Source organism: Homo sapiens, chromosome 13, assembly GCF_000001405.40.
Source record: "Homo sapiens chromosome 13, GRCh38.p14 Primary Assembly".
Taxonomy (NCBI): domain Eukaryota; kingdom Metazoa; phylum Chordata; class Mammalia; order Primates; family Hominidae; genus Homo; species Homo sapiens.
In genome coordinates this window covers 52,151,074-52,166,729 of record NC_000013.11, presented here as the reverse complement: position 1 = coordinate 52,166,729, position 15,656 = coordinate 52,151,074, and the positions used below count along the sequence as shown (strand labels likewise).

Below are 15,656 nucleotides of genomic sequence, written 5' to 3'. Positions count from 1 at the left end.
GCTTTTTAAATTAGAAGCATGAGTTAAAGAAGGAAATAGAGGAAATAAGCCTTTGTAGAAATTTAGAATCGCTTTTGTTTGCGTTTTCAGTCTTCTACACTTGACAGACTTTTTTTTTTTTTTTTTTTTTCCCGTGCAAGGGAGTCTAGCTCTTTCGTCCATGCTGGAGTGCGGTGGCACGATCTTGGCTCACTGCAACCTCTGCCTCCCGGGTTCAAGTGATTCTTCTGCCTCAGCCTCCCAAGTAGCTGGGATTACATGCGCCCACCATCATGCCCTGCTAATTTTTGTATTTTTAGAAGAGACAGGGTTTCACTGTGTTGGCCAGGCTGGTCTCGAAATCCTAACCTTGTGATCCGCCCACCTCGGCCTCCCAAAATACTGGGATTACAAGCATGACCCACCATGCCTGGCCACAGACAAGACATTTGAGGTTCCGGGAGAGTAACAGGATTTGCTAGGACAGGCATGGATACATTATTCTAAATATGCTTTTTCCACTCTGCCATCACAAACTTTACAAGTCTTTTTTTTTTTTGAGACAGGGTCTCACGCTGTCACTCAAGCTGGAGTGCAGTGGCACAATCTTGGCTCACTGCAACCTCTGCCTTCCAGGTTCAAGCAATTCTCGTGCCTCAGACTCCTGAGTAGCTGGAATTACAGGCACCCACCACCACATCTGACTAATTTTTGTATTTTTAGTAGAAATGGAGTTTCGCCATGTTGGCCAGGCTGGTCTTGAACTCCTGACCCCAAGTGATCTGCCTGCCTTGGCCTCCCAAAGTGCTGGGATTACAGGTGTGAGCCACCAAGCCCGGCCTACAAATCTTCTCTAATAGCAGAAACATCAGGAGAAAGCTGGCCCTTTTTTTTTTTGTAATAAGAAGGTATGAAGAGACACCTCTATTAGCTTTTCCCAATGGAAGGAAGCTTCCTGCTGCTTGATGAAATGTTAGGACTGGTCTTACAACTTGCTTTGTTTGGCAGTAAGGGCTAAACAAAAGAACCTTAAGGTTTTATTCCTTTACTAGAAGTCTGTCATTAGTTACCATAGGGGCAGTCTGCAATGTCATGTACTTCGCTTCAACCCTTGACCCTAATGACTTATCTGTATCCCTTGAGTAGCTGCACTTGCCTTCTTTTTCGTGGTGACCTCTAACTGCCACACCCACCCTGCCTTTTAGATTATGTTTTCCTTCCTTTTAGAGTTTATCAGGATGTCAGCCTGCTGGTGATGTTTCAGGGACCACTGGAGAGAGTGGAATTAGATGGGAAAAACATCACAAATATAAATACTACAATTTAAAATTTTTCTCTCATATTTGTTGCATTGCCACTTCATTTGTGTCATTTTAATTGAAAATCTAAATATACCTCCTTTTGGCAATGTTTTAATATTAATTACCTTTTAGGAATAGGAGGGGTAGATTACTCAGAGCTCTCTGACAGCTGGTATTTGCTGATGCCAGGAAGAGGAAATCAGACTTTTTATTCTCCATTTTCTTTGTTTATCATACTAGAAGCTTTGTTGTCTTTCCAAGTTCATAGGCCTGCATGCCAGCCTTTGAGGACAAAGGGTACATGCTTGCTTGTTTTTGATTTCACAGTGATGTACCCTATAGTGTCAGACCAAAACAGATATGGGAAAGGTGGAAAGTAGAGGAAAACACTATGAACAGAAAGATTTTCTGTTAAATTGTGTTCTTCTTCCTTATAATCACACATCTAAATTAATATTGCAGTGAGCTAACGCCAGCATCTAACATGTTCACTATCTACCTAGCCCACTTTTCTGGAGCTCTAAGAATAAAATCTCTGGGCTGGGCGCGGTGGCTCACGCCTGTAATCCTGGCACTTTGGGAGGCCGACGCAGGCGGATCACCAGAGGTCAGGAGTTTGAGACCAGCCTGGCCAATATGGTGAAACCCGGCCTCTACTAAAAATACAAAAACCAGCCAGGCTTGGTGGCTGGCGCCTGTAATCCCAGCTATTTGGGAGGTTGAGGCAGGAGAATTGCTTGAACCTGGGAGGCGGAAGTTGCAGTGAGCCAAGACTGTGCTACTGCACTCCAGCCTGGGTGACAGAGCAAGACTGTCTCAAAAAATAAATTAAAAAAATAAAATCTCTGTATTTCAAAGTTAAGCTAATTTGGTTTCTGCCTCTGAGAAAAAGGAAGATGCCTCAAGCATTGTCTTTGGTGGATATGTGGGAAACTTCATTAGAAATAATCTAGTCTTCACCATTGTGTTCCTAGGTCCTAGCCCTTGTGGCTGCCATAGAGTAGCAGCTCAATAAAATTTGTTCAATAAATGACCAGCTATTCAAAAGCTTTCCAGAAACGGGAACACAAACTTCTACAAGAAACAAAAGGCATGCTGGCATTAGATTGATCATCAGCTGCACTAAAAATGGTGGAATAATAGCTTGAAAGTTCAGGGGGAAAATGATTTTCAACTTGAGACGCCTCTACCCAGTCAAATTACTTGCGAGGGCAATATAAAGACATTGTTACACATGCAAAGACTCAGAAAGCTTACCTGCCAGACACCTTTTCTTAAGGAGGAGTTATTAGAGCAGGTACTCCATCAGTAAAAGAGCAGAGTATCCTGAGGAAGCCATGGGATTCAGGCAGCTGCAGATGTGACTCAGAATGTCAGTTTTGTGGGTGACTAAGCCACCAGTTCATATCTGAGCAAGAACGGGGGATCCAGGAAACAAAGGTATTTCATGGAATATACAGTTGGAAGAACTTGAAGATATACTTCAGGCAAAGAAAAGGAAAATAAGAAAAGTACCTAGAAATTATATTTCCTAAAAGACTCTACAAGAAAATCACAATACAAATATGAGTTAAACTGAGTCATCAGTGGGCTTTCAAAAAAATATTCCAAGAAAATAGAATGGGTAAGATGGCACAGATTTCTTTCAACAACAAAAAAGTACTAGGCAAAGCAACAACAACAAAGTAACCATGATTTTGAGAAACTGAACAGCACAGGGTTGAGACATTGTGATTACACAGGAAAATCAGGCCCAGCAAACTGCTTAGCTCTGCTGTGGACCAACATTTTCATAATGTTAATGCTGCTTATTGGTTATTGTCTATTAGAACCAACTTATAGAAGACTTAGGCCGGGCGTGGTGGCTTATGCCTCTAATCACAGCACTTTGGGAGGCTGAGGCAGGCAGAGGTCAAGACCATCCTGGCCAACATGTTGAAACTCCGTCTCTATTAAAAATACAAAAATTATCTGGGCGTGGTGGTGCACGCCTGCAGTCCCAGCTACGTGGGAGGCTGAGGCAGGAGAATCACTTGCACCCCGAAGGCAGAGGTTGCAGTGAGCTGAGATGGCGCCACTGCACTCCAGCCTGGCGACAGAGCGAGACTCCATCTCAAAAAAAAAAAAAAGAAGACTTAGTTACAGAAGGGAATATAAATGTTATCAGTTGTGGAAATCTAAGAGAGTACAGCTTTGAAAAGTTTGGAGGTACAGAGGTTTGAGGCTGCAATGAGCTATGATTGCACCAGAGGTACTCCAGCCTGGGCAACAGAGGGAGGCCTCATTTCTAAAAAATAAGAAATTTGGAGGTAGAAGCAGAGGTGGGGAGTTCAAGGGAAGTAAGAGTTCTTCCTATCATGAAATGGAGAACCAAGAGGCGCTGTCTGTATTTAATAGAACTAAAAACAACAGTTTAAGGATATTAAAGTTACTAAAGTGAACAATAGGACTAAATCATAGTGTTAACTACCATGTGCACCTTAGGGGGGTGAATTAAGCTGACTTTTTATCAGTCCTTGCAAGAGTCAATAGTGTCACAAAATAGCAGCTTAATCCTATTCATACAGTTGAAGATCATCAGGAGAATTTAAAACCACAAAGGTCAAAGTGGTTGCCCTTTGGAAGTGGGACTGAAGCTGGGGAGATAAAAAGCAAGGAACAATTGCTTTTTGTTCTAGGTCTTCCTCTACTCAACTTTTTTTTTCCCCTTTGACAAAACAAAAACCAAACATAACAATCCTGGTGAGGGTCAGAGATCATCTATTTTAATGCCTGGAAATATATTCGGTGAGTCATCTTGTGGCTCTTAAACCAAACCGAAGTTAAAAAGTATAAGAAAGTCTATATAACTGTAGACTACAAAGCAGTTAATACAGAGTGAAAACTCCCAGTCATCTCAGGAGAAGTGGCGTTTTATTATTTCTGGATATATCCAGAAGCTCTCCTGGCTGGGTATCCACAGCTTGGCAACAGCTGCATAAAAAGGGGGCCAGACCTTCTCTCACCATCCCCTCTCCCTACCCTCACCAGTCTATTCTTACTGACTTACAGGTTGAATTGCATCCCCCACAAAATATACGCTGGAGTCCTAATGTGCAGTACCTCAGAATGTGATCTTATTTGGAAATAGGGTTGTTAAGGATATAATTAGTTAAGATGAGGCCACACTGGGGTAGGATGGTCCCTCAATCTGATATGACTGGTGTCCTTATACAAGGGGAAATTTAGACTCAGAGACAGTACACATAAAGGAAAGGCAATGTGGGGGAGAAGAAGGCCATCTACAAGTCAAGTACAGAAGCCTGGAACAGATCTTTTCGTTCCAGCCCTCAGAAGAAACCAACACTGTCAACACCTTTATTTTGGACCTCTAGCCTCCAGAAGTATGAGATAATAAATTTGATTAAACCATTCATTTAGCTTGTGGGACTCTGTTACAGCAGCCCTGGCAAACTAATACACCGATGGAACAAGGGAAAGAATCCCTTTCATGACTGCCATCATTGGGTGGGAAAGAAAAGCATTAAGCACCTTTGTCATCTTCTCCCCTGATGCTGTCACAAATTTAATCTGATAGAAATCTGTCTTTTGCTCAGTTCTCAAGAGCAGCATTCTGAGTACAGGCATGGGCAGTATTTTTTTTTTTTTTTTTTTAGACAGAGTTTCGCTCTATCACCCAGGCTGGAGTGCAGTGGCACGATCTTGGTTCACTGCAACCTCCGCCTCCCAGGTTCAAATGATTCTTATGCCTCAGCCTCCCGAGTAGTTGGGGTTACAGGCGCCACCCACCATGCCCAGCTAATTTTTGTATTTTTAGTAGAGACAGGGTTTCACCATGTAGGCCAGGCTGGTCACGAACTCCTGACCTCAGGTGATCTGCCTACCTCGGCCTCCCAAAGTGCTGGGATTACAGGCCTGAGCCATCGTGCCTGGCCTTCTTTGTTTTTAATTGAAACTAGTCTTTGTATAGAGTACAAAGAAAGCAGTGCAGATGTTGTAAATGTTGATTTGTAGCATTTCCCTTCTCTTATCACCACACTACAGAATAGTTGTACATTAACTTTGACATTGTGGAAGGAAGGCAATTGGAGCTGGCCAGAGCAAAGCCATTTTGTTCCTGAATGCCATTTTACAACTGCCTGACTGCAGAATGTACTTGCTGATGTTGCAGACAAAATTGCTGCCATTATGAAAAGGACTTCATGCTGAGGACTGAACTTTTCTCAAACCCCTGAATCAAGGACTTTTGCCTAGAAACCAATGAACTGTCATGATAACGCTTTATCTTCAATCAAAATAGTGGGTTACGAAGGTTATGGATGAACTAGTGAGAACTGACTTCTTACTTCCTTTAAAAACCCTACCCAAAAATAGCTGGTCAGGACACAATTCAAATGCTTCTGGAATCTGTGTTCCTTGAACTGCAATTCTCAGACTGCCAATAAACTTCTTTACTTGGATTTCGGTCTCTCTGACTCTGGTTGACACGTTATAATGAACACGTTCAGCGCTTACAAGTAAAGGGTAACCAGATGTTGTTCACAGTAATCCTATGAGGTAGGTTCTATACTTTTATACAGAGGGATTTAGTTACTCTGCTGTATTAGTTTCCTAAGGCTTCTGTAACAAACTGTGACAACCTAAGTGGCTAAAACGACACGAATTTATTACCTTACAGTTCTGAAGTTCAGAAATACAGCTCACTGGGTTAAAATCAAGGCGTCAGTGTGCATGGTGGTTTTCCTGTAGTCCCAGCCACTCAGGAGGCTGAGGTGGGCGGATCGCTTGAGCCCGGGAGCTCAAAACCAGTCTTGGCAACATAGCAAGACCCTGTTTCAAAAAACAAAAAAATCAAGGGGTCAGCTGGACTGTTACTTCTGGAAGCTCTGGGGAACAATTTGGTTTTTGTTTTTTGTTTTTCCCTCCTTTTCTAGCTTCTCCTCCTTTTCCACCTCCCACCTCCTCCTTTATATATATATATATATATATATATATATTTTTTTTTTTTTTTGGAGACAGGTTCTTGCTCTGTCACCAAAGCTGGACTGCAGTGGTGGGATCATGAGCCCTCTCCAGCTCTAGTGATCCTCCTGCCCCAATCCCCCGAGCAGCTGGGACCACAGTGCCCGTCGCTATGTCTAGTTAATTTTTCGTAGAGACGAGTGTCTCACTATGTTGCCCAGGCTGATCTCGAACTCCTGGGCTAAAGTGTTCCTCTCCTGCCTCTGCCTTCCAAAGCACTGGGATTGCAAACATGAGACACTGTGCCTGCTCCTCTTCCAGCTTCTTGAGGCCAGCTGCATTCCTTGGCTGTTGCCCCTTCCTCCACCTTCAAATAGCTTTCTCATACTGACCTTCTTTTTGGGCCCCTTCCACTTTAGAGAACCCTTGTAATTACTTTGTAATTACCCAAGCACACACTCCAAGATCGTCACCTTATTTTAAAGTCCGCTGATAAGCAACCTTAATTCCATCTGCAATCTTAACCCCCTCTGCCAAGCAAGAGAACAAACGCACAGGTTCCAGGGAGTAGGATGTGGACATCCTGAGGCGGAAGCATTATCCCGCCTTCCACAATTGCCCAAGGTCACATAGCTAGTAAGTTCTAGCTAGCACTGAGTGCTGTGCCCGTGAAATTTATCTACATAGGCTTTCACTTAACCTGCAGACAGAACTCAGTTAGTCGGGGACAATTTCCCTCAATGTTAACAGCACTGTTCCACCGCAACGTGGAACAACAGCTTTAAAACGTGCTCTTCGTAGGCCCGGCTACTCCAAGAACAGTGCCTCCCGCCAGACCCAGGCGGCTTCCTTCACCCGCAACCCGAGAGACGACCCGCCGGGCCCGCCCCGCGGAAGCCGCCGGTTGCCAGGCCAAGGAGTGGACTAGGGTCGCCGGGGAAGCGGGTGAGTGGTCCCCGCCCTGGCGGGCTGCCTCTAGAACGAGGAGGGCGGCGCGTGGTCGCGGCGCGGAGCCGAGTGGGAGCGAGGGGTAGACGCGCCCCGGACGCGCGGCCGCGCCCCTCACTTCCGCCCCGCGGTCTGGACCACTCGCCGCAAACCCGCAAGTCCCTCGCCGCCTTGGGGTCTGGGCGCGCGGTGCCGTGGGGGTCAGCAGGGCGGAGCGGCTTTTCCAGGAGAAAGGGCCCTCACGGGTGAGCGGGGCGACTGGGCTCCCCCGCGGTGCAGTTGCCCCGCGGGCGCCGGCCCCGGCTCAACGGATTCTTCTCGCTCGCTGCCCGGAAAGAACCAGTGAGAACCGCTGTTGCAGCAAAAAAAGAAGTTAATAAGCGCAGGGCTGGCCAAACCAGAACAGGGTCTCAGACCTGTCTCCCCGAGAATTCGGGGGCGAGGGTTTTAAAGGGCATTTTGGCTTCGGGGGGCTGGGGAACTGAAACAGTTGACCGGCTGGGGATGAAATCACAAGAGCTTCTGAAACTCGGGGCGGCTTCGTTGGTTCCCAGGAAGGGGTGGGGTCAGTTTCCCTTGTCTTGAAGTTTACACGAAATCCCTCTCCCAGTTATCCTAGCCTCTGTGCTAGAATAAGAAAACGACAACACGGTGAAAACTTAGCCCGTGAGGTTAGAAGCAAGATGGAGTCAGTCATGTTAGATTTCTCGCATTACTTATACATCTGTAAAGGTGGTTTCAGGGACCTTTCTGAACTTAGCCCGTATCTCACTGGTGATCCCACTTCTGGGTATTTGCAAATCACTTTATTAGGTTTTTAAAAGTATTGTTGCAGGCATGCGAAGGGGCCGATATACTTTTGCCATGTCCAGAGTGTATTCAGGTCTTGTAATGATCATATGGGTGTAATATTGAGTAACAGGCAAATGTGGGCAGAAAATATCAAATGTGGTTTTCAGCTAAGAAGTCTGGTTGCTCTTAATTTTCAGTTACTCTCCATTGCATAGAATAAAGCCCCGAAGAAACGAAGAATAAGATCATGGGGAAACTTGGCTTCCATGTTAAACCGTGTAATACCAGGTGTTAGAATAGTAGTAAAGGACTTGTTTCTTTCACATCTATATACACTCAAAAGACCTCATCGATCTTGGAAAAACATTGTTTCGAAGACAATGTGTATGACTGATTTGGTTATATGAAGAAATTATTTCTAGGATTTCCTGGTAATTCTGTGATAAACAGTAATACAAACTGGAATTTTTACAGGTCACTATAGTAGAGGTTTTAGTTTGATTTTTGCTTTGCCTGTCATGCTCTCTCTGCCTTATAATTCTTTGTGGTGTAATTAAAAAACGAACACTAGGGCCGGACGGGGTGGCTCACGCCTGTAATCCCAGCACTTTGGGAGGCCGAGGCGGGCGGATCATCTGAGGTCGGGAGTTCGAGCCCAGCCTGACCAACATGGAGAAACCGCGTCTCTACTAAAAATACAAAATTAGCCGGGCGTGGTGGCGCATGCCTGTAATCCCAGCTACTCGGGAGGCTGAGGCAGGAGAATCACTTGAACCTGGGAGGTGGAGGTTGCGGTGAGCCGAGATCGCACCATTGCACTCCAGCCTGGGCAACAGGAGCGAGACTCCGTCTCAAAATAAAAAACAAACACTGTAAGCTTTTTGAAAAATCAAGTAAATTCATTACAGTGTTTTTCCTGCAATGAAAAAGAATGCATCACTTCCCTAAGGTTTTAATAATCATAATAGCTGCCAGTTATTCAGGACCTTGTATGTACCAGGCAAAGTGTTAGGAACGTTTTATCCATTTTCTCTTATGTGCTAAGCAGTCCCGCTAGCTGCTTCATCCTGGAAATATAGATGGGAGACTGAAGTCAAGGACTCCAACTGTGTGTTTAACATCTCTCTTGACTCCCAGGAACCTCCAGTTTGGCATGTCCAAAATGAAACACATGTCTGTCTTCTATCAATATGTTTTGCCCAACCCCTGCAACACTCCCACTTCCAGAAAAATCACACAAACAAAAAACCACACACACAACCATTGTGCCTTTCCTCTCTCAGGGAGTGCCAAGAAACCATCTGGTTCATGCCAGAAACTTGGGAGTCAACCTTGCCCCCTTCTCTGCTTGCCCCCCATAAATCTGCCACCACAAATCCTGTCAACTGTTCTTACATCTTTCCTTCCCATTTTTTCTGACCCCATTGCCTCCACTCTATTCCATTTCATTATTTTCCTGCCTTTTCTATTGTTGGAGCCTCCTAACTGGCCTGTGTCTCTGAGCTGGCCTTCCTGCCCCTCCTCCACTGGTCCATTTAATCTGCAATCTGAGTGAATGTTTTTTCTAATATGCAAATATGATTATATTGCCTTCTTGGTTAAAATGCTTCAGCAGCTTGTTACATTCTTCTTTCAATTTCTTGAACTGAATGTAATTTCTTTAGCTCTTAAATATGCAATTTCCTCTTCCTTGATTACTCTTTTCCTCCTCTTTGTCTAGCCAAGTTTCATTCATCCTTCAGGCTTCAGCTTAAATAGCCTACATTTGTTGAGGTTTATGGTTATCTCTGCATGGGATGTCCACGTTGGCAGGGACTATGAGAGATTTTTCAGATTATAACATCTGACTCAGAGTTGGTGCTCAGTGTCTGCCTGTTGTATGTAGTATAGGGGAGGAAAAACATTTTTTCTCTGCCCTCTTAGGTTCAGTAGCTGGGCCCTGCAAAATAAACTGATGAAAGATAGATTAACAGGAAAAAAGGTTTATGCATAAATGTAAAGAAGTGGTTAGACCAGGGGGCTCATATGCCATTTTAACAAAGAGTGATAAATTATAGAGAAGTAACTAGACAAAAGTAGGGGAATGCTTCTTGGGTAAATTGTAGGAAGGTAAATATATGGCGGAAGCTAACATAAGATAAGGGTTATTCAGTAAAGTTTGTTATGTGGACTCAAGTTGGTGCCTTCCCCATTGGTAAGAGTTGCTCTCCTCTTCCTGGTACTGGAAAGGAAGACACATTTACAAATGGATATTTATTACCTGTACATAGGAAAATTTATGCCCTGCATTTATACAAAAAAGGGAGGGCAAAGAGCAAATTGGTTTCAGCTCAAAACAATTCTTACATGAAAGTGGCATATTTTGGGGTAGCATACACTGATCCTCTTCAAAAGGAATAATTTGCTTTTCTCTTATCATGGTTATGAGAGCTACTTTGAATTAATTTTTGCTTTTTGAAAGTACATTTAATTCTCAAATGTTTCTGCTTTTGAATGCAGTTTGGGAGAGCCCATGGTGACTGCGTGAGTGGAGCCCAGCTGTGTGGATGCCCCAGCATGGATGACTACATGGTCCTGAGAATGATTGGGGAGGGCTCCTTCGGCAGAGCTCTTTTGGTTCAGCATGAAAGCAGTAATCAGATGTTTGCCATGAAAGAAATAAGGCTTCCCAAGGTCACTACTAAAGAAATTAGCTCACTTTGAAAGTATACATGCAGTTTATATAAAAGAATAAGTTTTTGGCCAGGCACAGTGGCTCACACCTGTAATCCCAGCACTTTGGGAGGTGGAGGCGGGTAGATCACCTGAGGTCAGGAGTTTGAGACCGGCCTGAGGTCAGGAGTTTGAGGCCAGCCTGGCCAACATGGGGAAAACCCGTCTCTAGTAAAAATAATAAAAAAAAAATTAGGCAAGTGTGGTGGCCTGCACCTGTAGTCCCAGCTATTCAGGAGGCAGAGGCAGGAGAATCACCCTAACCTGGGAGGCAGAGGTTGCAGTAAGCTGAGATTGTGCCACTGCACTCCAGCCTTGGTGACAAAATAAGACTCTGTCTCAAAAAATAAATAATAAGTTTTTGAGTTTTAACATGGAATTTCTCCTTCATGCAAAAGATGTAATTGGTTTATTCGTTAGCTTTACAAGGGCTCGATACATTATATGTGGTTCTTAGGATATTGTAATTAACAATGGGAGAAAAACAGTAAAAGTTTTGGTGGTGATTACTGCTAATTTTATTTCAGCAAATAATTGGTAATAACTACCACTTTTGTATACCTAATGGTGCAGGAAATCTTTGCCAGAGCAACTCAGGTGCAATATTAATGAAAAAGGATCATAAAAATACAGTGAAGAATGAATGCTAACCTTTGGTACCAGTAAACCTACTCTGTGGATCAGTTTATAGGTTTTATTTCCTTGTAGACCATTACTATGTATCATAGTTGTCCTATGAAAGAATTCATTACATGAAGACTATGTCATAATATTTTGGATCAATTTTTTAAAAATACATTCTAATAAAGTTCTCAGAGTGCTAGGTATTTTTTTCCCACTGTATTCTTGACTTCGTTCAGTGATTTTCAAACTTGAGTGAGCATCATAATCATCTGGAGGGCTTGTTAAAACATGGACTGCTGTGCTCCACCCCCAGGCTTCCGATTGAGTAGGTCCAGGTGGGCTTGTGAATTTGCATTTTTAACAAGTTCCCAGTTGGTGCTGATGTTGCTGGTCTGAGAACCCTTGTGTTACTATACAATCAATGGCAATTTCTTTTCTTTCTTTTTTAAAATTTATAGATGGGGTCTTGCTCTATTGCCCAGGCTGGAGTGTAGTGGCACAATCGTAGCTCACTGCAGCTCAAACTCCTGGGCTCAAGCGATCTTCCCACCTCACCCTCCCCAGTGGCTGGGACTATACTACATCTATAGTCTACATCTATAGTCCCAGCCACTGGGGAGGGTAGCCACCACACCCAACTAACAATGGCAATTTCTTGATTGTAAGATGAATCATTCAGAATTTCATCCTCATAGAGTAAGTTAGGGATAAATGGTTTTGGAAACTTACTTTGCTTGCCATCTTTGTTCATCCTTGATGCAGTAATATACCAGCATACTCTTTTTTTATCTGGACCAGTGGACTCCTCTAAGTGATGCAGACAGTCAAAACATGAAATCCCTCACTCCCTTTTTTTTTTCTTTTAGGATAAAACATTTCTTTTTCTTTTTTTCTACATCACAAGTCATCAAGCAAAAGATACATTATTTTTGATGGTAAACTGGCTCTCTAAGTCAGGTGATACTTAGGCTGATATTAAAACTATTTACATTCTGTATGTGTAAGGAATGAAAAAAGAAAATAAAAATACAATGAAGGGGTCAGCTCAAGCATGAAAATATAGCCAGAGTTGAAAAATCAACATGCATTTTCTCTTGTCATTTGACAAACTTAAGTTGAGCCACAGTGTGTTATAAAACTGCATCTAGCATTAAAGTGTCATATAAACCATGTTATTGTAAAGTTATGTATTTTAAAATGCAGTATTAAGTTTATGCTTATTTAAAATGTTTTTCTAGTCTTTCTCTAATACACAGAATTCTAGGAAGGAGGCTGTTCTTTTAGCCAAAATGAAACACCCTAATATTGTTGCCTTCAAAGAATCATTTGAAGGTAAATACGAATTCCCCCAGATATGTGCATTTCTGAATTTGATTTATAGCCACTACAGCTTTTCTAAAGAGCTTATATCTGTTTTAGCTGAAGGACACTTGTATATTGTGATGGAATACTGTGATGGAGGGGATCTAATGCAAAAGATTAAACAGCAGAAAGGAAAGTTATTTCCTGAAGACATGGTAAGAGATTGACTTACATAGTTTCTCTCAAGGTTTAGAAGCCACTTTTCTCATAAACTTTATATAAGTTAAAATAAAAGCATTGATATCTGTAATTACCCGAGAAGGTAGATAGAAATGACTGATTTCTGAATTGGTGTTACCACTTAGTGTCCTCAGGATATGGCTGCCTGAAATGGTTTTAGGAAGTAAAATCTATAGGTTATAAATTATTATGAAATAAAACTTTCATGTTTAGAATAATTTCAAGATCGTATCACCAAATTTTGTACTAGATATTTAAAATCTTGGTTTTTATCGTACTGAAATTTTAGAAGAGAGGTCTATTTTATTTTGTATTACTAAAACATCAGAAGAATGAAGCTTGCCATTTCTGTTTCTTGGGAGTACCTATTCTCAATCTTTTTCCTCCTAAAGCTTGAAGTGGTCCCTTCAGTCTAAGACTTGCTGCCTTTTTAGTGGAAAATTGCATACTAAATATTTTTTAATGAATTGGCTATGGAAAATATTTAAATTGCTCCAATGAGGCTTAGTTTGATCTAGGTTATAGCATGTTATGAAAGTATGTAAATAAATATTATTCATTTAGAAACTATATTGTTAAAAATGTGGGTTCCGTAGAAGGAAGTCAACCTTGGCTTCAACTGGAAGAATCTCCGTAGCAAGAGGGAAAAAAAAAATTAGTTTGACATTTAACTGTAGGCCCCCAAGACACCTAGAAATTCAGGGTACTGTTGACCTTGGACTTATAAGCAGGAACTATTGACCTCAAAGGATTATTTATGATATAATGAAATCTTTTGATGTTACCGTATGGATATTCTGCAGAATTAAATGAAAATCCAACATAATGATTACACTAGAAAAGCTGTAGTGTATTTCTTAGTGGTGAACTCTCTTTATATAAGCATTTAAGAAATACTTTTATTTGGTTGAATATAAGAATAATATAAGTAGAAGTTTTACTAAAATAAATTGCTATTTGGATCATGCATAAGATGATGGAATATGGGAGTCACAGCTTTTCTGAATTTCTCCAAGTAACACTGAATCTTAGTTGAACTATGTAATTTATAGGAGTTCTGTACTCACATTACGTAAAATCCCGGTTGACTAAGGCCTAGAGATGATTCTTTGGAATTGTAGGTTAACATGAGCCAGTTACTGCATTCTTGAAGATTTTGCATACCTTTTTCTTACAGATACTTAATTGGTTTACCCAAATGTGCCTTGGAGTAAATCACATTCACAAGAAACGTGTGCTACACAGAGATATCAAGTCCAAGGTGAGTGGAGTACATTTTTGGACTTAAAAAAAAAAAGTCCTTAATTCAGTCATTTTACTGTGTTATGCCATGCATTTTGGGACAGTTTTGTTTAGTTTAGAAATATTTGTCAGCCTAATATTTGTTATTTACTTTTCAAATTTAAATTCCCCCACCTTTCTTAAAATATAATTGACAAAAATTATGTATGTTTATGACGTACAACGTGTTATATATATATACACACACACTGTAAAATGATTAAATCAAGGTAATTAACATATCTGTTGCCTCACGTACTTATTATTTCTTTGTGGTGAGGACATTTAAGATCTACTCTCAGCACTTTTTAAGTATTCTATGCATTATTAAGTATTCTATGCATTATTATTAACTATAGTCACCATGTTGTACAACAGATCACTGGAACTTACTTGTCATAACTGAAACTTTGTACCCTTTGACTTAATATTTATACAAACCAAATAAGGTAACACCTGAGAAAAAGTCATTGAAATCTCTGTAGTAGTACAGTCATGCATCGCTTAACGACAGGGGGATAAGTACTCAGAAATGCATTGTAAGGTGATTTTGTTGTGTGAGCATCGTAGAGTGTGCTTACACAAACCTAGATGTTATAGCCTATTACACACCTAGGCTATATAGTGTAGCCTGTTGCTTCTAGGCTACAAACTGGTACAGCGTGTTACTGTACTGAATTTCTTAGGCAATTGGAATACAATGGTAAGTAGTTGTATATTTAAACATAGAAAACGTACAGTAAAAATATGGTATTATAGTCTTCTGGGACCATTGTCGTATATGCCATCCATTGTTGACTGAAATGTGGTTATGCAGCATGTGACTGTGTATATTAATGTGTCCTAGCTCTCTTTTAGTGACCACTTACTAAGTCCATGTGTTCTCAGATGGAAAACGGTTGACACCTGGGCCTGCCATGTGGCATCACCCTGACACAGGTTCTCACTGGGTCGATTGCGTCTGCTGATACAACCTAAAACTTGCTTGTTAGATTTTGAAGCACTCATCCTGAGTTTCCATGCAGGGGAATGTCTAGCGATCAAGAGGGGATCTTGGTGTTTTGTGTTCCACTCTGGGACTCAGCTGTCAGCATTTCTAGCCTTAATCTCCATCATCAGCAGGCTTTGGAAGACAGCTTATCTGCCTCATGTTTGATGATAGAAGACATAATCTGAGCTTTTCTTTTTAAATGCAGAATATCTTCCTCACTCAGAATGGAAAAGTGAAATTGGGAGACTTTGGATCTGCCCGTCTTCTCTCCAAGTATGTATGTCTGTTCTACGGTAGTGACAGTAATCAAAACATCAATTTTCAGGAATGTTCTGTAATCATTCGTTGCCTTTTTATGGTTTTAGTCCGATGGCATTTGCTTGTACCTATGTGGGAACTCCTTATTATGTGCCTCCAGAAATTTGGGAAAACCTGCCTTATAACAATAAAAGGTGAGTGCTGCATATTTGATGTCAGGGTGCCCATTTGGTGACAGGCATTTTAGCCTGCAAATGATGCTAGAG

General features: G+C 41.7%; 1 protein-coding gene and 1 long non-coding RNA gene across 15 annotated transcripts in view, besides 3 other annotated features; one reads left to right on the top strand and one right to left on the bottom strand.

The window, feature by feature from the left end:
- Positions 5,142–5,436: a silencer, noted in NCBI's record as "tiled region #2809; HepG2 Repressive DNase matched - State 5:Enh". NCBI's record gives its function as "represses a minimal TATA promoter and a strong SV40 promoter by Sharpr-MPRA in HepG2 cells {active_cell/tissue: HepG2}" and the evidence as "EXISTENCE:reporter gene assay evidence [ECO:0000049][PMID:27701403]".
- NEK3 (NIMA related kinase 3) overlaps positions 6,870–15,656 on the top strand; it is a 27,214-nt gene continuing 18,427 nt past the window's right edge. For 2 of the 14 annotated variants that reach the window (NR_164641.1, NM_002498.3), the window contains exons 1-7: positions 7,133–7,187; positions 10,482–10,655; positions 12,557–12,650; positions 12,738–12,835; positions 14,038–14,121; positions 15,338–15,405; positions 15,498–15,584. Coding sequence is in view for 13 of the 14 variants with exons in the window: in NM_002498.3 (NP_002489.1) it covers positions 10,539–10,655; positions 12,557–12,650; positions 12,738–12,835; positions 14,038–14,121; positions 15,338–15,405; positions 15,498–15,584 (548 nt within the window). In the remaining variant the exon portion in view is untranslated. Of the gene's footprint in view, positions 7,188–7,274; positions 7,533–10,481; positions 10,656–12,556; positions 12,651–12,719; positions 12,836–14,037; positions 14,122–15,337; positions 15,406–15,497; positions 15,585–15,656 lie in introns of those variants that run through there. The other 12 variants (NM_001424269.1, NM_001424265.1, NM_001424268.1 and 9 more) reach the window with 8 other exon arrangements.
- Positions 7,197–7,256: a silencer, noted in NCBI's record as "silent region_5382". NCBI's record gives its function as "represses an Ori minimal core promoter by ATAC-STARR-seq in GM12878 lymphoblastoid cells {active_cell/tissue: GM12878}" and the evidence as "EXISTENCE:reporter gene assay evidence [ECO:0000049][PMID:35858748]".
- Positions 7,337–7,446: a silencer, noted in NCBI's record as "silent region_5381". NCBI's record gives its function as "represses an Ori minimal core promoter by ATAC-STARR-seq in GM12878 lymphoblastoid cells {active_cell/tissue: GM12878}" and the evidence as "EXISTENCE:reporter gene assay evidence [ECO:0000049][PMID:35858748]".
- On the bottom strand, positions 9,384–12,561 carry LOC124903176 (uncharacterized). The gene is made up of 2 exons (XR_007063806.1): positions 11,932–12,561; positions 9,384–11,868 (listed from the first exon to the last, which is right to left on the bottom strand). It is a non-coding gene; the product is annotated as an uncharacterized LOC124903176 (long non-coding RNA).